General features: G+C 39.3%; 1 protein-coding gene across 7 annotated transcripts in view; it reads right to left on the minus strand.

The window, feature by feature from the left end:
* Window positions 1–27,416, minus strand: part of OPHN1 (oligophrenin 1) — a 391,498-nt gene that overhangs the window by 165,117 nt on the left and 198,965 nt on the right. For all 7 annotated transcript variants that reach the window (XM_011530961.2, NM_001437258.1, XM_006724653.3 and 4 more), the window contains 4 exons: window positions 27,027–27,128; window positions 6,402–6,512; window positions 4,648–4,752; window positions 2,693–2,822 (listed from right to left, as the gene is read on the minus strand). In XM_011530961.2, coding sequence (XP_011529263.1) covers window positions 2,693–2,822; window positions 4,648–4,752; window positions 6,402–6,512; window positions 27,027–27,128 — 448 coding nt within the window. The remainder of the gene's footprint in view (window positions 1–2,692; window positions 2,823–4,647; window positions 4,753–6,401; window positions 6,513–27,026; window positions 27,129–27,416) is intronic.

A 27,416-nucleotide genomic window follows, 5' to 3' on the forward strand; every position in this document is an offset into this window, starting at 1 on the left:
AAACATATTTTTAAAAAACAAAAATTTACTATCTCACCAATTAATTATTTCATTGGCCTTCTCTGATTTCCCTATTGTCCCCATCTCTGATCACTCCACTCCAATTCATTCTCCACTCTTTTCCTAGATTATTTTTAAAATATATCTCTATTTTTATCATTCCCCTCATTAAAAACCATCCACGGCTTTCCCACTATCTCCACACTCCTTAGCCTGCCTACAATGCCCTTGATAACATGATCAAAACTTACCTTTCTAGCTTTTTCTTTTGGCACCTCACCTCTATGTTCCTGTCTCAATGAATTACTTTTAGTTCCCACATAAAGAGGTAGCCATATAATTTCTAGTCCAAATCCAAGACTTATTTAAGACTGAATGAGGCAGTATTATTAATAATTACATCAGGACAACAGGGGTAAAGCAGGACTATTCTTGGCAAACAAGGGCCCTACAAATCAACTATGTCTATCCACAACCCTGCCTTTACTCATGCAGTGGTATATACCTGGAATTCCCTTCCTCCTTTTCCTTCTTTCTTTCTCTCTCTTTCTTTCTTTCCTTTCTTTCCTTTCTTTCTTTCCTTTTTCTTTCCTTTCTTTCTTTTCTTTTCTTTCTTTCATTCTTTCTTTCTTTCTTTTATTCATTTTTGAGACAGAGTCTCACTCTGTCACCCAGGCTGGAGTGTAATGGCACCATCTCGGCTGAGTAAAATCTCCACCTCCCAGGTTCAAGTCATTCCCCTGCCTCAGCCTCCCAAGTAGCTAGGATTACAGGCAAGCATCACCACATCCAGCTAATTTTTGTATTTTTAGTAGAGACGGGGTTTCACCATGTTGGCCAGGCTGGTCTCAAACTCCTGACCTCCAGTGATCTGCCGTCTCAGCCTCCCAAAGTGCTGGGATTACAGGCATGAGCCACTGTGCCCGGCCATTCCTCCTTTTCTTTACCTATCAAACTCCCACTCATCATTCAAGTTCTAGTTCAAATATCACTTTCTTTGTGAAGCCTTTAGATATATGCCCCAAATACAGTTATCACCACATTTCATTATAATTATTGATATACTTGTCTATCTCTCCCATCACTTTACACTTCTTGGTGAAAGAAATCATGGTTGATTCAGTTTTTCAAGGGTGTCCCCAATGCATTGCACAGTATCTGGCAGAAACAGTGCTCATTAAGCATACATTCAACTGAGTAGCAATGTTATGCCCATATGACAAATCAGAATACTGAAGCACAGAAGGATCACACAGCATACAGCAGTGGTTCTCAACTAGGGGTAATTTGGCCTCCCAGGGGACATGTGGCAATACATTAGAGACATTTTAGGTTGTCACACCTGGAGATTACTATGAGCACAAAGTGAGGAGGCCAGGGATGCTTCTAAATATACTATAATACACAGGACCACTTCCCAGAACTAAAAATTATCCAGCCTGAAATGTCAACAGCACTGAGATCGAGAAATTGTGCGACACACAGTTGAAGAGATGAACCTGACAAGTGGGAGAACACATCTTTGAAAATCATCACAAGTAAACTGCTCTATGCAAAGAAAAGTGTGATAATTTCACTACCGTAGTGTCATGCTTTTTGAATTACAGTGATTTTTGCTACTGGCAGCCTCTGGGTGTGTGTCCTCTGTTTATTCCCCAGATATAATAACTCTGGGCAAAAACTGAATAACAGGTTTGGGGAGTATTGGGTCATAGTTCAAAGGGCAAATAAAATCAAATCACACATACAGGTGTGCATAATGTTACTGAGGAATTAGGAAAGATTGAATGCTCTGCAACATTCAGTGACTAAACAAGTTAACCCACTTTACTTAGTCACCAATGAAAAACAGATACTGTCTTTCCCACTGGAATCATGATGTTCACTAAGTGCTATAAGAGCATCCATGAGCCTGAGCAACATAGTGAGACCTTGTCTCTACAAAAAATTCAAAACTTAGCCAAGTGTAGTGGTAGGTGCCTTTAGGTGCAGCCACTCAGGAGGCTGAGGTAGGAGGGCTGCTTGAGCCCAGGAGTATGAGGCTGTAGTGAGCTATGATGGTGCCATTGCACTCCAACCTGGACAACAGAGCAAGATCCTGTCTTAAAAAAAGAAAAGAAAAGAGCAAACATATGACCCTAATGCAGACGAAGATATAGGGTACTATAGTAGGATCATGGGCTTTGGCATTTCATAGACCTGAATTTAATTTTAGTCCTGACACTTGTTAGTTGGGTGACTTTCAAATGGTGACGTCTCTGAGCCTTAGTGGCCTTATGTGTATGGGTATAAATTGGTTGCAAAGATTAAATGAGGCAGTGTTTTAAATGAACTTAGCACCATGTCTGGTACATAATAAGTATAAGAAATATTATTTTTCTACTTCCTTTCCTCTACTTCCCTTTTTTCCAAAAGAATAATCAGAAGGATTAAAGAACAAATAATACCCATTTTGAATCTCAGAGAAAACCTTAGGTCTTATCACTACACAGCCTTTGTAAGACAAATCTTTAACTTCCTCTCAGTTTCTCCTTTTTTTTTTTTTGTTTTCAGTATTCCCTGCCTGCGTTCCAAGGGAATTTTAGCTATCAGGGGTCTATGAACAGTAAGGGTGCCCAAAATTCACAGCCGACAAGTGGCAGTAGTTCCTGGCTTATTGAAACCCAATGGATACCCCTATGTCCCCACACACATTTCTCTTGTGTATAGAGATAGCCTTCAATAGTTGGCTGTCCTGGAAGTTTGCATGTCTGGGGAGCTTCTTTCATCCTTTTCTTAAGTTCTTCCATCTCTTCCCGGGTACTGGAGAAATGATTTCTTGTCTGTCAAGACATCATCATGAAAATCATTATTATCATCATCATTATCATGAAAAAGTATTTCTTGGTCAGAGACTCAGTACAAAGTTTTCCCTGCTTACAGCATGTGCAACCACAAAGCAAAAAAAGAAATGGTGAATGGCATAGTGAATGGAAAACAAGTTTATAGAGTCTAACGGTCCTAAAGACTGCATAGGAAACAAAAATATAACGAGCAATATACTCATAAAATAACAACTGGGAGGCTTTTTACTAATACGAATCACATAAGGCCCTAATAAATAAGCAATCTTAGAATTCTGAACATGACTGATACCCTGCTTTACAACAAGGGAGATGGCAGACAAGGTTCCCAAAGGTAGCATTCTCATAGCAACTTCCAAATTGTGTCTCAAAGTTACAGCCTAGTTGATACTGAATCAAATTCTGGCCAAGAACATAAAATATACGAGAGGGTGCTCTCTTGGGAGAAGGGCCAACAGTAGCTATGTTTTCATACTCACAAATACCAAAACCTAATGATGAGAATAAATCTATTTAAATCTACACAACTAAAACACAATGGTAAGACATGTGTTGAAATGTGGGTATGAAAATCACTACAGATAAGTTTTTAGTACCCAGTCTTAAAATTATGACATGATGTTAGTGAGAAAGGTGATCTGTGCTGCCCATCTAGTTGGCTCATGTTTATCCTGTAAATAAGTCACCCATATGTACACATTCAAAGGCTTATTGTTACATTTGTACATATCAAGTAATATATAGAGGAAGATTCATGGGATTAACTTGGTTGTAGTAGGAAGATGTTGTAAATCAGGAAATTCTGGAGAATGTGAGAGCCCCTAGTTCCTTTCTGCAAGGAGAGTATATAGAAAGAAAAAATAATAACAACAACTGTAAATCCCAATCCTCCTAAACAACCAAGGGGGGCTTATTTTTCACTATAACTTACCAGCATTTTTCATCTAAAACTACATCTATATATTTCATGCAATTTAACACCCATTCTAAAGTCACCAACTCAGTAATGCCTTCTCTGACTCTACCAGGTAGCCAAATGCTCTGAACTTTTTAAAAACCTTTGGCCTTGATTCTATTATAGCACTTATCATAATGGATTATAATTTATCTCTGTTTATTTGTCTCCTACAAGAAACTGTATGTTCCTTCAAGACAGAAAAACTTGCATGCATCTTCATGGCATGTCCAGTGCCTTTCACATGCCTGGCACAGAGCTTATGTTCATTTTTTCCATAAACATTTGTTTAATGTGGGTTGAATAAAGGAACATGTAAAGGAATATATGTGAAAAGGATGGGAACACTATGCCTACATGCCCATCTGTAAGAACCAGCATGACAAAGAAGGTAGAGAAAACCTTTAAAAGTAATTTATGTGACTCTACTAATAAGTACTGAGAAAAGAAAGAGAAGATAAAATGAGTGTTTGTGGTAATAAAGTCTACAGTGAGAGTGTTTTGACTGAGCAGGGAAGTAGCTTAAGGCCTGGGCTCAAATAAGCCTATAGCTATGTCCTGATCTGAGAGAGATGCAGCAAATTAGCAATACTTAATAAATATTGCATAGATGAAGGTGTTGGTGTGTGGAAGGGTGGGTTTGAACAGCAGTCAGCCTCAAAAACAGGAAAGATGTGAAAGTGGAAGAGCAAGAACAGTCTGATATACTAAATATTTGTGATCCACACCAGTATATTCTAACAAATTGGCTAGGATGCAGTAACCTAGAATTCCAAGAATCAAGGTCGCTAGGGCTGAAATTCAATCGGAATGGAAAGACCGGTGAGAAAAATCCACATGCAAACTCACATTCTGTAAACTGAGTTGGAGCTGTTGTTTGTATGGGAGGAAATCCTGTGTGAGCTCCACAGTCAGGCTGTTAGAAATGAACAGACTATGAAGAAAGGCCAAGACCTAGGGAAAACATGTAAAAATAACTTTATCACCAGCATCTTCTAATAAACTAAATAAAAGAAACATGAACTCACCAAAAAACTCCATGGTGTGGCTGGGTGTGGTGGCTTATGCCTGTAATCCCTGCACTTTGGGAGGCCGAGGCGGGCAGATCGTGAGGTCAGGAGTTTGAGACCAGCCTGACCAACATGGTGAAATCCCATCTCTACTAAAAATACAAAAATTAGCTGGCCGTGGTGGCGCACGCCTGTAATCCCAGCTACTTGGGAGGCTGAGGCAGGAGAATGGCTTGAACCCGGGAGGCGGAGGTTGCAGTGAGCCAAGATTGCATCACTGCACTCTAGCCTGGGACAGAGTGAGACTGTCTCAAAAAAACAAAAAACAAACAAACAAACAACAACAACAAAAAACTCCATGGTGTTTACCCAGTATAGCGCTAAACGCAGTCAAACACAAACCAGTCTACACATCACTGTTTTCATATCAGGTTGAACATTTACCCTTGACTCAGCTTCAGAAAAAAAGAACTATTAACAAATTTATTAACCCTGAGCTTGTTCAGATCTCATATAAAGACATTCATCATTTGAACAGTATGTAAATGAACTGCATCTTTCCTCTATATATCCTCAGCAACCACAAACAATAGGTGCTCAATAAATATTTCTTGAATGAATGAAAGTAAATAGATAAATGAATAAAGCAAGATTTTCTACCTAACTTTAATGAAGACTGTCATAATGCTAAAAGATCAAAGGAGTCTAAACCAACTTTAAAATTAGAAATGTTTCACAGGGTTGCAGAAAAAGACATATAAATGATACACAACATATATTGGTGTAAATTTTCAACCCCATTAAAAATCAAATACACGGGCTGGGTATGGTAGCTCATGCCTGTAATCCTGGCACTTTGGGAAGCCAAGGCAGGGGGATCACTTGGGCCCGGGAGTTGGAGACCAGCCTGGGCAACATGGTGAAACCTTATCTCTACAAAAACATACAAAATATTAGCTCGGTATGGAGGCATGCACCTGTAGTCCCAGTTACTCAGGAGGCTGAGGTGGGAGGATCACTTGAGCCCAGGAGACAGAGGTTGTAGATAGCACCACTGCACTCCAGTTTGGGTGACAGTGAGACCCTGTCTCAAACAAATATATGGAAATGGAAAAATCTACACAAAACGAAGTAAATGGAATGAAAAAACGTGAAATGGGAAAAAACTACACAAGACAGAAGTAAAAGTAGTAGAATGAGAAGTCACTGACTGCAAGAGACATGAGTCCCTAGCATAGTATCTGGTATATGAGAAAGACTTTCAGAAGCTTCTGAAAGCGCAAGAAGAAGGAAGGGAGGGAAACAAAGTAACAGGAAGAGTTGTAGAGAAATTCCGGAAGGGGGGAGGAAAGAGAAAGGAAAAAAAGGAAAGAGAAAGAAAATAGCCATAGAAAAAGAGAGAAAAGGGTTGGGGGGAAAGAGAGAAAAAAAGTATACTAAAGAACAAGAAAAACGTAAGTTAGACTACGTTCTAGACATTTCCACTGATTATCCTTCACGTTCTTTGGGATTCTGTTTTTATGATCAAAGTTTGTACATTTACCAGGCATTTGATAAATATTTTTAGACCATTCATCAACAGAGAAAACTTACAGGCTCCACAATATTGAACTTCTTGGACTCCTGAACTTCCTGGATTTGATAAACATAATCAAGAGAGGACTCGAAAAAATTGTGCCTCTCCTTGTCCACCTGTAGGTCTGCCTGTAGAAGAAGGAAAACAAACATTACATATTGGGATATTCATTCATGAAAGTCAGTACTTAAGGATTGAACAGAATGCTAGAGCTAGATGAGCATTTAGCCACCAACTAGTGATGTTACCTTTTATTTTAGAAATAGAGAACCTAAAGCCAAGAGATAAAAAAGTGACTGATACAGGATTCCAGTTTCTGGTCCAACACATAAAAAGCTTGAAGTCATTACATCCACCCTGACAAAAAGAAAAAAGCTGAACAAGTGTAAAATCCACACATTTTATTATATTCAACAGAGAACTGAAGTCAGAGGAAAATCTGCTCCCTCAAACACTACAGAGACATGAATACAGAGAATAAGAAATTAACAAGGGCCAAAGCCCAAGAACAGAAGCATGCTACTATGGCCAATACTGAGGGGATTACAACAGAAAGAACTGCAAGTCTCAAGTCTTATTTAACAAGAAATGGTAAAATCTGAGCACATAAACAATGATGCCAGAGAAAATTTTAGAGTCAGACAATGACAGCTACAGCAAACTAAGCACAGCCTAGCTCCTAGCCAGTTCAACACAAAACCTCACATTAAAGACCTGTTTCACTCAGTTCCTTTCATCTGAACATCACCGCTAGCTTTCAACAATGAACTACAAGGCATATTAAAAGGCAATAAACACAGTCTGAAGAGAAAAAAGGAGCATCAGAATCAAATGTAGGTAAGGCAGACATTGTAGAAATATAAGACTGTAGGCCAAGTGCGGTAGCTCACACCTGTAATCCCAGCACTTTGGGAGGCCGAGGTGGGTAGATCACCTGAGGTCAGGAGTTCAAGACCAGCTTGGCCAACATGGAGAAACCCTATCTCTACTAAAAATACAAAAACTAGCCAAGTGTGGTGCTGTACTCCTGTAGTCCCAGCTACTCCAGAAGCTGAGGCACGAGGCTCACTTGAACCTGGGAGGTGAAGACTGCAGTGAGCCGAGATCGTGCCACTGCACTCCAGCCTGGGTGACAGAGCGAGACTCCATCTCAGAAACAAACAAAAAAGAAACATAAAACTAAATTTAAAATAATTATAATTAATATGATAAGGGCTCTAATATAAAAAACAGACAGCACCTAAGAACAGATGGGTAATAGTAGCAGGCAGATGAAAACTGCAAGAGAGTATACAGAGAAAACACTAGAAATCAAAAACACTGTAGCAGAAATGAAGACTACTTTTAAAGGGTTCACCAGTAGATTGAACAAGAGTGAGGAAAGAACCAGTAAGCTTAAATACATGTCAAAAAAAATGTGGGAAACTGAAATGCAAAGAGAAAAAAAGAATGACAAACATGGAGTAGAATATTCAGGAACTGGTGAACAATTACAAAAGATGTTAATATACGTATTTTCAGAGTACCAATAGGAGAAGAAAAAGAGACAGAAACAGAAGAAATACTTCAAGCAATAATGACTGAGAATTTTCCAAAATAAAAGACAGGTATCAAACCCACATCCAGAAAGCTCAGGATAAATACCAATAAATACAATAATATAATAAATACTAATAAATACCAATCAGGATAAATACCAAACAATCCCCATGTAGGTATATGATATTCAAAGCTGCAGAAAATAAAATACAAGAGAAAATCTTGAAAGAAGCTAGAGAGAAAAACAAACAACTTACTATACAGCAGGGCAAGGATAAAGAGTTATATCAGACTTCTCTTAAGAAACCATGCAGAAAGAAAAGAGTGCTATAAAATATTTGAAGGTGTTGAAAGAAAAAAAGTTAACTACTTAACAATGTGTAAACTGTGAAATTATCCTTCAAAAGTGATGGTAAAATAAAGACTTCCTCAAACAAACAAAAATTAAAGCACTTTGTCACCACTAAACTTGTCTTGCAAGAAAGGACAAAAGATCTCCAGTAGAAGAAAAATGATATGTCGGAAATATAGACCTAAAAAGAAAGAAAAAAAGAGCACTAGAAAAGAAATAAATGAAGATTAAATATTTTATTTTTCAAATTCTTAATGGACCTAACAGATAAGAATTTGTCTATAATAATAATTGTAATGATACATTTGGTGATTGTATCTTACAAATAAGTAAAAAGAATGATAGTACCATTATAAGGGACTAAATGGAGAAATTGGAAATAGTCTGTTGATCCTGTACAACCCATAACTACGTTACTGGAATTTGAAAAGTGGACATAAACTAACCACAAATGCATATTGCAAGCTCTAAGGCAACCATTAAAAAATGAAAAAGAAGAAGTATAATTTACATGGTAAGAGAAGACAGAAAATAAGATCATATAAAATATTCTCTTAAAAAAGAGAAGTCAAAAGAAGACTGAAAGACAAAAATAAAAACAAAAACAATAAGTAGAAGATGGTAAACAATATAGTAGATACTATTACACCATTATCTATGACCCTTTTAAACGTCAGTGATCTAAAAAAATTAAAAGATAGACTGTCATAGTGCACAAAAATTAAGAGCCAACTATGTTACCTAAAAGATATCATTTTAAATAAGATACACAAAAATGTTAGACCTGAAACCATAAAACTTCTAGACTAAAACACAGAAAAATGCTTCTAGGAATTGGCCTAATAAAAAAAAATTACTAAGACACCTAAAGCAAATGCAACAGAAACAAAAATAAATAAATGAGACTTAATTAAACTAAAATCTTTCTGCACAACAAGATAAATAATCAACAGAGTAAATAGGCAACTTACAGAATGGGAGAAAATATTCACAAACTGTACAGCTGACAAAGGGCTAGTGTCCAGAATCTACAAGGAACTCCAACAAATCAGCAAGAAAAAAAAATCCCATTTAAAAGTGGGCAAACGACATGAACAGACATTTTTCAAAAGAAGATGCACAAATGGCCAATAACATGAAAAAATGCTCAACATCACTAATCATCAAGAAAATAGAAATTGGGGAGGAGCCAAGATGGCCGAATAGGAACAGCTCCGGTCTACAGCTCCCAGCGTGAGCGACGCAGAAGACGGGTGACTTCTGCATTTCCATCTGACATACCGGGTTCATCTCACTAGGGAGTGCCAGACATTGGGCGGAGGTCAGTGGGTGCGCGCACCGTGCGCGAGCCGAAGCAGGGCGAGACATTGCCTCACTTGGGAAGCGCAAGGGGTCAGCGAGTTCCCTTTCTGAGTCAAAGAAAGGGGTGACGGATGGCACCTGGAAAATCGGGTCACTCCCACCCGAATACTGCGCTTTTCCGACGGGCTTAAAAAACGGAGCACCACGAGATTATATCCCGCACCTGGCTCGGAGGATCCTACGCCCACGCAGTCTCGCTGATTGCTAGCACAGCAGTCTGAGATCAAACTGCAAGGCGGCAGCGAGGCTGGGGGAGGGGCGCCCGCCATTGCCCAGGCTTGCATAGGTAAACAAAGCAGCCAGGAAGCTCGAACTGGGTGGAGCCCACCACAGCTCAAGGAGGCCTGCCTGCCTCTGTAGGCTTCATCTCTGGGGGCAGGGCACAGACAAACAAAAAGACAGCAGTAACCTCTGCAGACTTAAATGTCCCTGTCTGACAGCTTTGAAGAGGGCAGTGGTTCTCCCAGCATGCAGCTGGAGATCTGAGAACGGGCAGACTGCCTCCTCAAGTGGGTCCCTGACCCCTGACCCCCAAGCAGCCTAACTGGGAGGCACCCCCCAGCAGGGACATACTGACACCTCACACGGCAGGGTACTCCAACAGACCTGCAGCTGAGGGTCCTCTCTGTTAGAAGGAAAACTAACAAACAGAAAGGACATCCACACCAAAAACCCATCTGTACATCACCATCATCAAACACCAAAAGTAGATAAAACCACAAAGATGGGGAAAAAACAGAACAGAAAAACCGGAAACTCTAAAAAGCAGAGCGCCTCTCCTCCTCCAAAGGAACACAGTTCCTCACCAGCAACGGAACAAAGCTGGATGGAGAATGACTTTGACGAGCTGAGAGAAGAAGGCTTCAGATGATCAAATTACTCTGAGCTACAGGAGGACATTCAAACCAAAGGCAAAGAAGTTGAAAACTTTGAAAAAAATTTAGAAGAATGTATAACTAGAATAACCAATACAGAGAAGTGCTTAAAGGAGCTGATGGAGCTGAAAACCAAGGCTCGAGAACTACGTGAAGAATGCAGAAGCCTCAGGAGCCGATGCGATCAACTGGAAGAAAGGGTATCAGCGATGGAAGATGAAATGAATGAAATGAAGTGAGAAGGGAAGTTTAGAGAAAAAAGAATAAAAAGAAATGAGCAAAGCCTCCAAGAAATATGGGACTATGGGAAAAGACCAAATCTATGTCTGATTGGTGTACCTGAAAGGGATGGGGAGAATGGAACCAAGTTGGAAAACACTCTGCAGGATATTATCCAAGAGAAATTCCCCAATCTAGCAAGGCAGGCCAACGTTCAGATTCAGGAAATACAGAGAACGCCACAAAGATACTCCTTGAAAAGAGCGACTCCAAGACACATAATTGTCAGATTCACCAAAGTTGAAATGAAGGAAAAAATGTTAAGGGCAACCAGAGAGAAAGGTCGGGTTACCCTCAAAGGGAAGCCCATCAGACTAACAGCGGATCTTTCGGCAGAAACCCTACAAGCCAGAAGAGAGTGGGGGCCAATATTCAACATTCTTAAAGAAAAGAATTCTCAACCCAGAATTTCATATCCAGCCAAACTAAGCTTCATAAGTGAAGGAGAAATAAAATACTTTACAGACAAGCAAATGCTGAGAGATTTTGTCACCACCAGGCCTGCCTTACAAGAGCTCCTGAAGGAAGCACTAAACATGGAAAGGAACAACCGGTACCAGCCGCTGCAAAATCATGCCAAAATGTAAAGACCATCGAGACTAGGAAGAAACTCCATCAACTAACGAGCAAAATAACCAGCTAACATCATAATGACAGGATCAAATTCACACATAACAATATTAACTTTAAATGTAAATGGACTAAATGCTCCAATTAAAAGACACAGACTGGCAAATTGGATAAAGAGTCAAGACCCATCAGTGTGCTGTATTCAGGAAACCCATCTCACGTGCAGAGACACACATAGGCTCAAAATAAAAGGATGGAGGAAGATCTACCAAGCAAATGGAAAACAAAAAAAGGCAGGGGTTGCAATCCTAGTCTCTGATAAAACAGACTTTAAACCAACAAAGATCAAAAGAGACAAAGAAGGCCATTACATAACGGTAAAGGGATCAATTCAACAAGAAGAGCTAACTATCCTAAATATATATGCACCCAATACAGGAGCACCAAGATTCATAAAGCAAGTCCTGAGTGACCTACAAAGAGACTTAGACTCCCACACATTAATAATGGGAGACTTTAACACCCCACTGTCAACATTAGACAGATCAAAGAGACAGAAAGTCAACAAGGATACTCAGGAATTGAACTCAGCTCTGTACCAAGCGGACCTAATAGACATCTACAGAACTCTCCACCCCAAATCAACAGAATATACATTTTTCTCAGCACCACACCACACCTATTCCAAAATTGACCACATAGTTGGAAGTAAAGCTCTCCTCAGCAAATGTAAAAGAACAGAAATTATAACAAACTATCTCTCAGACCACAGTGCAATCAAACTAGAACTCAGGATTACGAATCTCACTCAAAACCACTCAACTACATGGAAACTGAACAACTTGCTCCTGAATGACTACTGGGTACATAACGAAATGAAGGCAGAAATAAAGATGTTCTTTGAAACCAATGAGAACAAAGACACAACATACCAGAATCTCTGGGATGCATTCAAAGCAGTGTGTAGAGGGAAATTTATAGCACTAAATGCCCACAAGAGAAAGCAGGAAAGATCCAAAATTGTCACCCTAACATCACAATTAAAAGAAATAGAAAAGTAAGAGCAAACACATTCAAAAGCTAGCAGAAGGCAAGAAATAACTAAAATCAGAGCAGAACTGAAGGAAATAGAGACACAAAAAACCCTTCAAAAAATTAATGAATCCAGGAGCTGGTTTTTTGAAAGGATCAACAAAATTGATAGACCGCTAGCAAGACTAATAAAGAAAAAAAGAGAGAAGAATCAAATAGACGCAATAAAAAATGATAAAGGGGATATCACCACCAATCCCACAGAAATACAAACTACCATCAGAGAATACTACAAACACCTCTACGCAAATAAACTAGAAAATCTAGAAGAAATGGATAAATTCCTGGACACATACACTCTCCCAAGACTAAACCAGGAAGAAGTTGAATCTCTGAATAGACCAATAACAGGAGCTGAAATTGTGGCAATAATCAATAGCTTAGCAACCAAAAAGAGTCCAGGACCAGATGGATTCACAGCCGAATTCTACCAGAGGTACAAGGAGGAACTGGTACTATTCCTTCTGAAACTATTCCAATCAATAGAAAAAGAGGGAATCCTCCCTAACTCATTTCATGAGGCCAGCATCATTCTGATACCAAAGCCTGGCAGAGACACAACAAAAAAAGAGAATTTTAGACCAATATCCTTGATGAACATTGATGCAAAAATCCTCAATAAAATACTGGCAAAACGAATCCAGCAGCACATCAAAAAGCTTATCCACCATGATCAAGTGGGCTTCATCCCTGGGATGCAAGGCTGGTTCAATATATGCAAATCAATAAATGTAATCCAGCATATAAACAGAGCCAAAGACAAAAACCACATGATTATCTCAATAGAGGCAGAAAAAGCCTTTGACAAAATTCAACAACCCTTCATGCTAAAAACTCTCAATAAATTAGGTATTGATGGGACGTATTTCAAAATAATAAGAGCTATCTATGACAAACCCACAGCCAATATCATACTGAATGGGCAAAAACTGGAAGCATTCCCTTTGAAAACTGGCACAAGACAGGGATGCCCTCTCTCACCACTTCTATTCAACATAGTGTTGGAAGTTCTGGCCAGGGCAATTAGGCAGGAGAAGGAAATAAAGGGTATTCAATTAGGAAAAGAGGAAGTTAAATTGTCCCTGTTTGCAGACGACATGATTGTATATCTAGAAAACCCCACTGTTTCAGCCCAAAATCTCCTTAAGCTGATAAGCAACTTCAGCAAAGTCTCAGGATACAAAATCAATGTACAAAAATCACAAGCATTCTTATACACCAACAACAGACAGAGAGCCAAATCATGAGTGAACTCCCATTCACAATTGCTTCAAAGAGAATAAAATACCTAGGAATCCAACTTACAAGGGATGTGAAGGACCTCTTCAAGGAGAACTACAAACCACTGCTCAAGGAAATAAAAGAGGATACAAACAAATGGAAGAACATTCCATGCTCATGGGTAGGAAGAATCAATATCATGAAAATGGCCATACTGCCCAAGGTAATTTACAGATTCAATGCCATCCCCATCAATCTCCCAATGACTTTCTTCACAGAATTGGAAAAAACTACTTTAAAGTTCATATGGAACCAAAAAAGAGCCCGCATCGCCAAGTCAATCCTAAGCCAAAAGAACAAAGCTGGAGGCATCACGCTACCTGACTTCAAACTATACTACAAAGCTACAGTAACCAAAACAGCATGGTACTGGTACCAAAACAGAGAGATAGACCAATGGAACAGAACAGAGCCCTCAGAAATAATGCCGCATACCTACAACTATCTGATCTTTGACAAACCTGACAAAAACAAGAAATGGGGAACGATTCCCTATTTAATAAATGGTGCTGGGAAAACTGGCTAGCCATATGTAGAAAGCTGAAACTGGATCCCTTCCTTACACCTTATACAAAAATCAATTGAAGATGGATTAAAGACTTAAACGTTAGACCTAAAACCATAAAAACCCTAGAAGAAAACCTAGGTATTACCATTCAGGACATAGGCATGGGCAAGGACTTCATGTCTAAAACACCAAAAGCAATGGCAACAAAAGACAAAATTGACAAATGGGATCTAATTAAACTAAAGAGCTTCTGCACAGCAAAAGAAACTACCATCAGAGCAAACAGGCAACCTACAAAATGGGAGAAAATTTTCGCAACCTACTCATCTGACAAAGGGCTAATATCCAGAATCTACAATGAACTCAAACAAATTTACAAGAAAAAAACAAACAACCCCATCAAAAAGTGGGCGAAGGACATGAACAGACACTCCTCAAAAGAAGACATTTATGCAGCCAAAAAACACATGAAAAAATGCTCGTCATCACTGGCCATCAGAGAAATGCAAATCAAAACCACAATGAGATACCATCTCACACCAGTTAGAATGGCAATCATTAAAAAGTCAGGAAACAACAGGTGCTGGAGGGGATGTGGAGAAATAGGAACACTTTTACACTGTTGGTGGGACTGTAAACTAGTTCAACCATTGTGGAAGTCAGTGTGGCGATTCCTCAGGGATCTAGAACTAGAAATACCATTTGACCCAGTCATCCCATTACTGGGTATATACCCAAAGGACTATAAATCATGCTGCTATAAAGACACATGCACACGTATGTTTATTGCGGCATTATTCACAATAGCAAAGACTTGGAACCAACCCAAATGTCCAACAATGATAGACTGGATTAAGAAAATGTGGCACATATACACTATGGAATAGTATGCAGCCATAAAAAATGTGAGTTCATGTCCTTTGTAGGGACATGGATGAAATTGGAAATCATCATTCTCAGTAAACTATCGCAAGAACAAAAAAGCAAACACCTCATATTCTCACTCATAGGTGGGAATTGAACAATGAGATCACATGGACACAGGAAGAGGAGTATCACACTCTGGGGACTGTTGTGGGGTGGGGGGAGGGGGGAGGGATAGCATCGGCAGATATACCTAATGCTAGATGATGAGTTAGTGGGTGCAGCGCCAGCCATGGCACATGTATACATATGTAACTAACCTGCACAATGTGCACATGTACCCTAAAACTTAAAGTATAATAGAAAAAATAAATAAAAATAAATAAAAAGAAAAAAAAAGAAAATGGAAATTAAAACCACAATGAGATACCACCTTACTCCACTCAGAAAGGCCATTATTAAAAAGTCAAAAAACAAAAGATGCAGATGTGGTTAAAAGGGAATGCTTATTCACTTTGGGTAGGAATGTAAATTCATACAGTCTCTATGGAAAACAGTATAGAGATCTCTCAAATAACTAAAAGTAGAACTACTATTTGATCCAAGATCTCACTACTGAGAATCTACCTAAAGGAAAAGAAGTCATTACATCAGAAAAGACACCTGCACTCCTATGTTTATCTTCACACAATTCACAATTGCAAAGACAGGAAATCAATCTAAGTGCCCATCAACTGATTAGTGGATAAAGAAAATATAGTAGGTATATATGTGTGCACACACACACTCACACACAATGGAATACTACTCAGCCATGAAACAGAACAAAATAATGTCTTTTACAGAAACTGGAACTGGAGGCCATTATTCCAAGTGAACTAACTCAAATCAAATACCTCACATTCCCATTTATTAGTGGGAGCTAAGCTCTGAGTATGCAGAGACATGCAGAGTGGTATAATGGACATTGGAGACTCAGAAAAAGGGTGGTGAGAGGGGGCTGAAAAATTACCCATTGTTCGGTATAATGTACACTATTCGGGTGACAGGTACACTAAAAGCCCAGACTTCACCACTATACAATTCATCCATGTAACCAAAAAACACTTATACCCCTAAACCTATTGAAATAACAATTAAAATGTAAAGAAAACAAAGACAGATTAAAAGTAAAGGTATAAAGAAAGATATATCATGCTAACATTAATCAAAAGAATGCTAGAGTAGCTATATTAATTTCATAAAAAGCATACTTCAGAACAAAGAAAACTACCAAGGAAAAATATTATGATATCAAATCATAATATAATAATAAAGATGGCAAGACTCTAAGAAGACATAACAATTCTTAATGTGAATGTGCCTAACAACACAGCATCAAAATACATGAGGTAAAAATTGAGAGAATTACAAGGAGAGACACACCTACTATTAGAGTTGGAGACTTCAATACTCCTCTAATAGTAATGGACAGATCCAGCTAGCAGAAAATCCGTATGGACATTGTTGACCTGAACAGCACCATTGATCAACTGAATCTAACTGACATCTTTGTAACACTTGATACAACAGCAGAATACACTTTCATCTCAAAGTCACACAGAAAAATCACCAAGATAGACCACATTCTGGGACATAAAATACACCTGAAGAAATCTAAAAGAATAGAAATCTTATGAAATATACAATTAGACCACAATTAAATTATACCAGAAATCAATTTTTAAAAGCTGAAAATGCCCCAAATAATTGGAGATTAAACAGTACATTTATAAATGAAACCTGAGTCAAAGACGCAAAGAAAAGTAAGGCTGGGCATCATGGCAAACACCTGTAATCTCAGCAATTTAGGAGGGCAAGGCGGGAAGATCACTTGAAACCTGGAGTTTGAAACTCGCCTGGGCAACATGGTAAGACCTCAATTCTACAAAAAATAAATAAAATAAAATAAGAAATGTTAAGACATTTTGAATTAAATAAAAATGAAAACACAATTTAATATTTGTGGGCAACAAAAGCAGTGCTTAGAGAAATATTTATAGAATGAAATGCATATAATAGAATAGAAGAAAGATCTCTTATTAATAATGTAAGCTTCCTTCTTAGGAAACTAGAAATAGAAGAATAAATCACATCCAAAGTAAGCAGAAAATAAGAAAAAATAAACATTAAAGAAGATATCGACTGAAGGTTCCAAGATGGCTGAATAGGAACAGCTCCAGTCTACAGCTCCCAGTGTGAGCGACACAGAAGATGGGTGATTTCTGCATTTCTAACTGAGCTACTGAGTTCATCTCACTGCGGCTTGTTGGACAGTGGGTGCAGCCCACAGAGTGTCAGCCGAAGCAGGGCAGGGCATCGCCTCACCCTGGAAGCGCAAGGGGTTGCGGAATTCCCTTTCCTGGCCAAGGGAAGCTGTGACAGACAGTACCTGGAAAATCGGGACACTCCCACCCTAATACTGCGCTTTTCCAACGGTCTTAGCAAATGGCACACCAGGAGATTATATACCATGCATGGTGCAGAGGGTCCCAAGCTCACGGAGCCTCTCTTACTGCAAGCACAGCAGTCTGAGAGCGAACTGCAAGGCAGCAGCGAGGCTGGGGGAGGGTCGTCCGCCATTACTGAGGCTTGAGTAGGTAAACAAAGCAGCTGGGAAGCTCGAATTGGGTGGAGCCCACCACAGCTCAAGGAGACCTGCCTGCCTCTGTAGACTCCACCTCTGGGGGCAGGGCATAGCTGAACAAAAGGCAGCAGAAACCTCTGCAGACTTAAATGTCCCTGTCTCACAGCTTTCAAGAGAGTAGTGGTTCTCCCAGCACGGAGTTTGAGATCTGAGAACGGACAGACTGCCTCCTTAAGTGGGTCCCTGACCCCTGAGTAGCCTAACTGGGAGAAACCTCCCAGTAGGGGCCAACTGACAACTCATACAGCTGGGTGCCCCTCTGAGATGAAGCTTCCAGAGGACGGATCGGGCAGCAACATTTGCCATTCTGCAATATTTGCTGTTCTGCAGACTCTGCTGGTGATACCCAGGCAAACAGGATCTGCAGTGGACCTCTAGCAAACTCCAACAGACCTGCAGCTGATGGTCCTGACTGTTAGAAGGAAAACTAACAAACAGAAAGGACATCCACACCAAAACCCCATCTGTGCGTCACCATCATCAAAGACCAAAGGTAGATAAAACCACAAAGATGGGGAGAAACCAGAGCAGAAAAGCTGAAAATTCTAAAAATCAGAGCACCTCTTCTCCTCCAAAGGAACGTAGCTCCTCACCAGCAATGGAAGAAAGCTGCATGGAGAATGACTTTGATGAGTTGAGAGAAGAAGGCTTCAGATGATCGGTAATAACAAACTTCTCCAAGCTAAAGGAGGATGCTCAAACCCAACGCAAAGAAGCTAAAAACCTTGAAAAAAGATAAGACGAATGGCTAACTAGAATAAACAGCATAGAGAAGACCTTAAATGACCTGATGCAGCTGAAAACCAAGGCATGAGAACTACATGACACATGCACAAGCTTCAGTAGCCGATTCGATCAAATGGAAGAAACGGTATCAGTGATGGAAGATGAAATGAATGAAATGAAGTGAGAAGAGAAGTTTAGAGAAAAAAGAATAAAAAGAAACGAGCAAAGCCTCCAAGAAATATGGGACTATGGGAAAAGACCAAATCTACGCCTGATTTGTGTACCTGAAAGTGACGGCGAGAATGGAACCAAGTTGGAAAACACTCTGCAGGATATTATCCAGGAGAACTTCCCCAATCTAGCAAGGCAGGCCAACATTCACATTCAGGAAATACAGAGAATGCCACAAAGATACTGCTTGAGAAGAGCAACTCCAAGACACATAATTGTCAGATTCACCAAAGTTGAAATGAAGGAAAAAATGTTAAGGGCAGCCAGAGAGAAAGGTCAGGTTACCCACAAAGGGAAGCCCATCAGACTAACAGCTGATTTCTCGGCAGAAACTCTACAAGCCAGAAGAGAGTAGGGGCCAATATTCAACTTTCTTAATGAAAAGAATTTTCAACCCAGAATTTCATAACTAGCCAAACTAAGCTTCATAAGTAAAGGCGAAATAAAATACTTTACAGACAAGCAAATGCTGAGAGATTCTGTCACTACCAGTCCTGCCTTACAAGAGCTCCTAAAGGAAGCACTAAACATGGAAAGGAACAACCAGTACCAGCCACTGCAAAGACATGCCAAATTGTAAAGACCATCAAGGCTAGGAAGAAACTGCATCAACTAACGAGCAAAATAACCAGCGAACATCATAATCACAGGATCAAATTCACACATAACAATATTAACCTTAAATGTAAATGGGCTAAATGCTCCAATTAAAAGACACAGACTGGAAAGTTGGATAAAGAGTCAAGTCCCATCATTGTGCTGTATTCAGGAGACCCATCAGTGTGCTGTATTCAGGAGACCCATCTCACGTGCAGAGACACACACAGGCTCAAAATAAAGGGATGGAGGAAGATCTACCAAGCAAATGGAAAACAAAAAAAGGCATGGGTTGCAATCCTAGGCTCTGATAAAACAGATTTTAAACCAACAAAGATCAAAAGAGACAAAGAAGGCCATTACATAATGGTAAAGGAATCAATTCAACAAGAAGAGCTAACTATCCTAAATATATATGCACCCAATACAGGAGCACACAGATTCATAAAGCAAGTCCTTAGAGACCGAGAAAGAGACCTAGACTCCCACAAAATAATAACGGGAGACTTTGACACCCCACTGTCAACATTAAACAGATCAACGAGACAGAAAGTTAACAAGGAGATCCAGGAACTGAACTCAGCTCTGCACCAAGCGGACCTAATAGACATCTACAGAACTCTCCACCCCAAATCAACAGAATATACATTGTTCTCAGCACCACATCGCACTTATTAAAAATTGACCATATAGTTGGAAGTAAAGCAGTCCTCAGCACATGTAAAAGAACAGAAATTATAACAAACTGTCTCTCAGACCACAGTGCAATCAAACTAGAACTCAGGATTAAGAAACTCACTCAAAACCGCTCAACTACATGGAAACTGAACAATCTGCTCCTGAATGACTACTGGGTATATAACGAAATGAAGGCAAAAATAAAGATGTTCTTTGAAACCAACGAGAACAAGACAAAACATACCAGAATCTCTGGGACACAGTTAGAGCAGTGTGTAGAGGGAAATTTATAGCACTAAATGCCCACAAGAGAAAGCAGGAAAGATCTAAAATTGACACCCTAACATCACAATTAAAAGAACTAGAGAAGCAAGAGCAAACACATTCAAAAGCTAGCAGAAGGGAAGAAATAACTAAGATCAGAGCAGAACTGAAGGAGATAAGAGACACAAAAAAAAACCTTCAAAAAATCAATGAATCCAGGAGATGGTTTTTTGAAAAGATCAGCAGAATTGATAGACTGCTAGCAAGACTAATAAAGAAGAAAAGAGAGAAGAATCAAATAGTTGCAATAAAAAATGATAAAGGGGATATCACCACCTTTCACACAGAAATATAAGCTACCATCAGAGAATACCATAAACACCTCTACACAAATAAACTAGAAAATCTAGAAGAAATGATAAATTCCTGGACACATGAACCCTCCCAAGACTAAACCAGGAAGAAGTTGAATCCCTGAATAGACTAATAACAGGCTCTGAAATTGAGGCAATAATTAATAGCCTACCAACCAAAAAAAGTCCAGGACCAGATGGATTCACAGCCAAATTCTACCAGAGGTACAAGGAGGAGCTGGTACCATTCCTTCTGAAACTATTCCAATCCATAGAAAAAGAGGGAATCCTCCCTAACTCATTTTATGAAGCCAGCATCATCCTGATACCAAAGCCTGGCAGAGACACAACAAAAAAAAAAGAGAATTTTAGACCAATATCCCTGATGAACATCAATGTAAAAATCCTCAATAAAATACTGGCAAACTGAATCCAGCAGCACATCAAAAAGCTTATCCACCACGATCAAGTTGGCTTCATCCCTGGGCTGCAAGGCTCGTTCAACATACACAAATCAATAAATGTAATCCAGCATATAAACAGAACCAAAGACAAAAACCACATGATTATCTCAATAGATGCAGAAAAGGCCTATGACAAAATTCAACAGCCATTCATGCTAAAAACTCTAAACAAACTAGGTATTGATAGGATGTATCTCAAAATAATAAGAGCTATTTATGGCAAACCCACAGCCAATATCTCACTGAATGGGCAAAAACTGGAAGCATTCCCTTTGAAAACTGGCACAAGACAGGGATGCCCTCTCTCACCACTCCTATTCAACATAGTGTTGGAAGTTCTGGCCAGGGCAATCAAGCAGGAGAAAGAAATAAAGGGTATTCAATTAGGAAATGAGGAAGTCAAATTGTCCCTGTTTGCAGATGACATGATTGAATATTTAGAAAACCCCATCATCTCAGCCCCAAATCTCCTTAAACTGATAAGCAACTTCAGCAAAGTCTCAGGATACAAAATCAATGTGCAAAAGTCACAAGCATTCCTATACACCAATAACAGACAAACAGAGAGCCAAATCATGAGTGAACTCCCATTCACAATGGCTTCAAAGAGAAGAAAATACCTAGCAATCCAACTTACAAGGGATGTGAAGGACCTCTTCAAGGAGAACTACAAACCACTGCTCAACAAAATAAAAGAGGACACAAAGAAATGGAAGTACATTCCATGCACATGGATAGGAAGAATCAATATCGTGAAAATGGCCATACTGCTCAAGGTAATTTATAGATTCAATGCCATCTCCATCAAGCTACCAATGACTTTCTTCACAGAGTTGGAAAAAACTACTTTAAAGTTCATATGGAACCAAAAAAGAGCCCACATTGCCAAGACAATCCTAAGCCAAAAGAGCAAAGCTGGAGGCATCATGCTACCTGATTTCAAACTATACTACAAGGCTACAGTAACCAAAACAGCATGGTACTGGTACCAAAACAGATATATAGACCAATGGAACAGAATAGATCCCTCAGAAATAATACTACACATCTACAACCATCTGATCTTTGAGAAACCTGACAAAAACAAGCAATGGGGAAACGATTCCCTTTTTAATAAATGGTGCTGGGAAAACTGGCTAGCCATATGTAGAAAGCTGAAACTGGATCCCTTCCTTACACCTTATACAAAAATTAATTCAAGAAGGATTAAAGACTTAAATGTTAGACCTAAAACCATAAAAACCCTAGAAGAAAACCTAGGCAATACCATTCAGGACATAGGCATGGGCAAGGACTTCATGTCTAAAACACCAAAAGCAATGGCAACAAAAGCCAAAATTGACAAATGGGATCTAATTAAACTAAAGAGCTTCTGCACAGCAAAAGAAACTACTGTCAGAGTGCACAGGCAACCTACAGAATGAGAGAAAATTTTTACAATCTACCCATCTGACAAAGGGCGAATATCCAGAATCTACAAAGAACTTAAACAAATTTACAAGAAAAAATCAAACAACCCCATCAAAAAGTGGGCAAAGAATATGAACAGATGCTTCTCAAAAGAAGACATTTATGCAGTCAACAGACACAGGAAAAAATGCTCATCGTCACTGGTCATCAGAGAAATGCAAATCAAAACCACAATGAGATACCATCTCACACCAGTTAGAATGGCAATCATTAAAAAGTCAGGAAACAACAGGTGCTGGAGAGGATGTGGAGAAATAGGAACACTTTTACACTGTTGGTGGGAGTGTAAACTAGTTCAACCATTGTGGAAGGCAGTGTGGTGATTCCTCAAGGATCTAGAACTAGAAATACTATTTGACCCAGCCATCCCATTACTGGGTATATATCCAAAGGATTATAAATCATGCTGCTATAAAGACACATGCACACATATGCTTATTGTGGCACTATTCACAATAGCAGAGATTTGGAACCAACCCAAATATCCATCAATGATAGACTGGATTAAGAAAATGTGGCATACATACACCATGGAATACTATGCAGCTATAAAAAATGATGAGTTCATGTCCTTTGTAGGGACATGGATGAAGCTGGAAACCATCATTCTGAGCAAACTATCGCAAGGACAGAAAACCAAATACTACATGTTTTCACTCATAGGTGGGAATTGAACAATGAGAATACTTGGATACAGGGTGGGGAACATCACACACTGGAGCTTGACGTGGGGTGGGGGGAGGGGGGTGGGATAGCATTAGGAGATAGACCTAATGTAAATGATGAGTTAATGGGTGCAGCACACCAACATGGCACATGTCTACATATGTAACAAACCTGCACGTTGTGCACATGTACCTTATAATTTAAAGTATAATAAAAAAAAGAAGATGAAGATATCAACGAAATTAACAACAGGAAATCAACAAAACCAAAAAGCTGGTTCTTTGAAAAAAATCAATAAAATTGTTAATATTTTAGCCACATTAAATAAGTAAGAGAGTAAATACACAAAGAAGTGGCATCAGAAATAAAAGAATGAAAAAAATGAGATCCCGTCATTTGCAACAACATGGATGGAACTGAAAGTTATTTTGTTAAGTCAAATAAGCCAGGCACAAAAAGACAAGATATTTAAGAGGAGAACTACAAAACACTGATGAAAAAAATCAAAGGTCAAAATAAATGGAAAGATATTCCATGTACATATTAGGTTGGTGCAAAAGGAACTGTGATTTCTGCCATTACTTTTAATGGTACAACGCAGAATAGTGACAAGGATGTGGAGCAACCGGAGCTATCATTCATTGTTCATGGAAATAAAAACTGCTACAGTCAATTTGGAAGACAGTTTGGCAGTTTCTTACGACACTAGATAAAATCTTACCATATGATAGCAGTTGTATTATTTGGTATTGACTCAAACAACATCAAAATGTATATCCCTAAAAGCCTGCACACAATTTTTTATCGCAGCTTTAATAACTGCCAAAATTCAGAAGAAACCAAGAAGTCCTTCAATAGGCAAATGGATAAACCAACCGTGGTACAACCAGACAATGGCATATTATTCAGCCCTAAAAAGAAGTGAGTTATCAAGTCAAGAAAAGATATGGAGAAACCTTAAATGCATCTTGCTAACTACAAGAAGCCAATCAAAAAAGGTTACAAACCATATGATACCAACTATATGACATTTTGGAAAAGGCAAAAGTATGGAGTCCATAAAAAGATCAGTGGTGTCAGAGGTAGAGGTAGAAGGAGGGAGGGATAAAGTCCAGGGATGTTCAAGGCAGCGAAACTGTCCTGTACAATATGGTAATGCTGGATATATGTTATCATATGTTTTTCAAAACCCATAGAATGTTTAATACATTGGCTCCTCAATTCTAACAAATGTATCACACAAATGCAAGATGATCCTAAAAGAGGAAATGAGAAACTGTGTGAGGGAGTAAGGGCATATGAGAACTCTGTACTTACTATTTAATTTTCTGTAAACCTAAAACTTCTCTAAAGATGAAATCTAAATTTTTTGAAAGTGACTAACTCAAGATTGCCCTGCTCATTTTTTTATTGAATAAGTAATAAAAGGACATCTAGATATAGCACCAAACACCTAGAACACTCCAGAAGGTGTCCTAGCAAAAGTCTCCAATAGTTTGGATTGTGTCCAGGGTCCAGAAGACCACCCCAATTTTAATAATTCTTTAATAAATCTTTTTTGAGCAGGACTCAAAGTACTCAACATAGTAGTACTCACAGCTAAGATTTATTTCAGTGAAAGCGTACACAGCCGACTGAGCAAAGAGAAAAGGTGCCTGGGGCAAAATGCAGAGGAAGCTAGGTAAAAGCTTCCAAAAGATCTCTCACGGTGGTGTCACCCAAGACACATTTAATTCTTCCTTCAACAAGTTGTAACAACACAGAGAAAATGTTATCAGTCAGGGAAGCTCATAAGAGAATGAGTAGCTTAGGGTTTTACTGCGGGGCTAGTTACACAGGCACACTCTGCCCAGCACAACCAAAATTCAAGAGTACCAGAAGAAAAAGGTGTTCGACATAAGCTACATTATTTGCAGAGCCAGGCTTGGCACAGTCAGCCATTCTTACCCATTAAGGGAAACTTCTAAATCAATGTTGGGAGCTGTTTAACAGTGAAGTTCCCAGATGCCATTCCAAGGGCTAATTTTGTAAACAGGTCTTTCTAAGCATAGCAGTCTCAGGCCTGTTGACTGTTTTCTGCATAGAAACCGCGACACAGAATAGATAGAAAAGGAAAAAAACAAAAGTGGGCAAAAGGAAAATGATAGAAGATCCCAGACTCAATTCTAGTTTATGGAAGGAAAGTAGTCCTTCTCCTTTGCAATACTAACTCCATCCACAACTAAGGCTTTTTTTTTTTTTTTTGAGACAGAGTTTCGTTCTTGTCACCCAGGCTGGAGTGCAATGGAGTGATCTCAGCTCACTGCAACCTCCGCCTCCCGGGTTCAAGCGATTCTTCTTCCTCAGTCTCCTAAGTAATTGAGATTACAGACATGTGCCACTATGCCCGGTTAATTTTGTATTTTTAGTAGAGCTGGGGTTTTGCCATGTTGGCCAGGCTGGTTGCAAACTCTTGACCTCAAGAGATCCACCTGCCTTGGCCGCCCAAAATGCTGGGATTACAGGCATGAGCCACTGCACTCGGCCACACTGAGGCTCTTGACCTATTACCTTCAAGCACCTCAGATGATGTGATGGATATCTATGAAACCAGTTATCAGGAGATGAGCTCCAGCTCTGCCACAATCTGTGTGACCATGGACAAGATGACAGCTCCTGCCTATGATATTATTCCATCAGATATCTCTTTTCATACTTGAATCTTTAAAATCTCCATTATTACTGAATCTTTCATTGAACATATAGACCCCTCCTTCCATTAGAAAAATTCTCAATCAGTTTATTCCTTCTTTTCCTTCCCTAGTGCCTCTCTTACGGCTCTGTCACTTTCCCCTAGATCGTTTCCTAGATCAATAGTTTCCTAAACTGTTTATCCTGCTTCTAGTCTCTCCCTGATCTAATTCACCCTACAACCTATGCCAGTTTGAGATTCCTAAAATAGAATTCTACTTATGTTCCTTCCATCCTTGGGCCATTGGTCTCTGTTTGAAAGGTCCATTTATCCATTTTCACCTGTCAAACACTTTACCTATATTTTAATGACCACGTCAAATTGGAAGGGCAACATTCTTCCACAAAGGAAATTCCCCACATCCAAACATAAGTCTTCTATTCTCATTTCCCACTCCCAACAAAAGCACCATATACACATTAAAGTATGTAAAAAAAATCTATTTGTATAAGAGTAATGTGTTTTCTTATTTAGTAGCCCAACAGTAAGCTGCAGAAGGGCAGGAATCATGTCTCATTGTTTCTGTAGCCATGTTGCATCCAGTACAGTTCATGGCATGTGGTAGGGTCTCACCGAATGGTAGCTTATTTGAACTGAAGGCACTGCAAGTCCCAGGTAAGCAGTAGTCCCAAAACAGAACATTCCCCTAACCCCTCACCAAAAAAAAAAAAAAAAAAAAAGGTTGTGGAATCTCTCAGGGAAAAAAGTAGAAGATCTGTTCCTGATTTCTACCAAATACAACACTAGTTTAACTTTATCCTCGCATGGATTTTGGACTTGCAATTGAAAGGGACTCTCGACTCCTCTTCTTACAGATAATGGAATGAGGCAAAGAAAGAAGTATCCTATCCAAGGTCACACCCTGAGTTAGTGGAAGAGCTGGCTTAGTATTCAGGGCTTCTGAGTCTCAGGCCACAGTTTTGACTACAAGTGCTACTATCACATGAGGTTCCCTGCTGAGACGGGGTATGGGAAAAGCCTTGCAGTACAAAATTCACACTGTTTCTAAGGCATAGCTAGCAATGGAAGGCAGGGGCAGGCTTTGTGAACATACCTCTTGTAACTGAGATTCTTTCTTTTTTGAAGACAGGTGTAAGTGCCGATCCAGTAAAGAATAAAACCTCTCACCATCCTTTTCAAATTTCTTTTTCCGCTCCTAAAGGTGGGAAAGAAGGGCAAAGATTAAATGTCTGTAGTTGTAACTCTGTCTGCTTAGAAAGGAGAATGAAGGAGATAGTGTCAGGTTTCAGGTGGTCAATCCCTCTAGCTCCTGGAAGGAAAAAAAAGCAACGGAGAATTAACTTTGTATTGGTCTCAGCAGTTTCAGCTTCCTGAAATATAACCCCAAACCATTCTGCCTGCAGAAATGGCAGTCCCTATTTTTACAGCTGAAAGCTATGGAAGCTGCTCCTTAGAGAATGATACCTTAAAAGGGCCTGTGCAG

Source organism: Homo sapiens, chromosome X (genome assembly GCF_000001405.40).
Source record: "Homo sapiens chromosome X, GRCh38.p14 Primary Assembly".
Classification (NCBI taxonomy): Eukaryota; Metazoa; Chordata; class Mammalia; order Primates; family Hominidae; genus Homo; species Homo sapiens.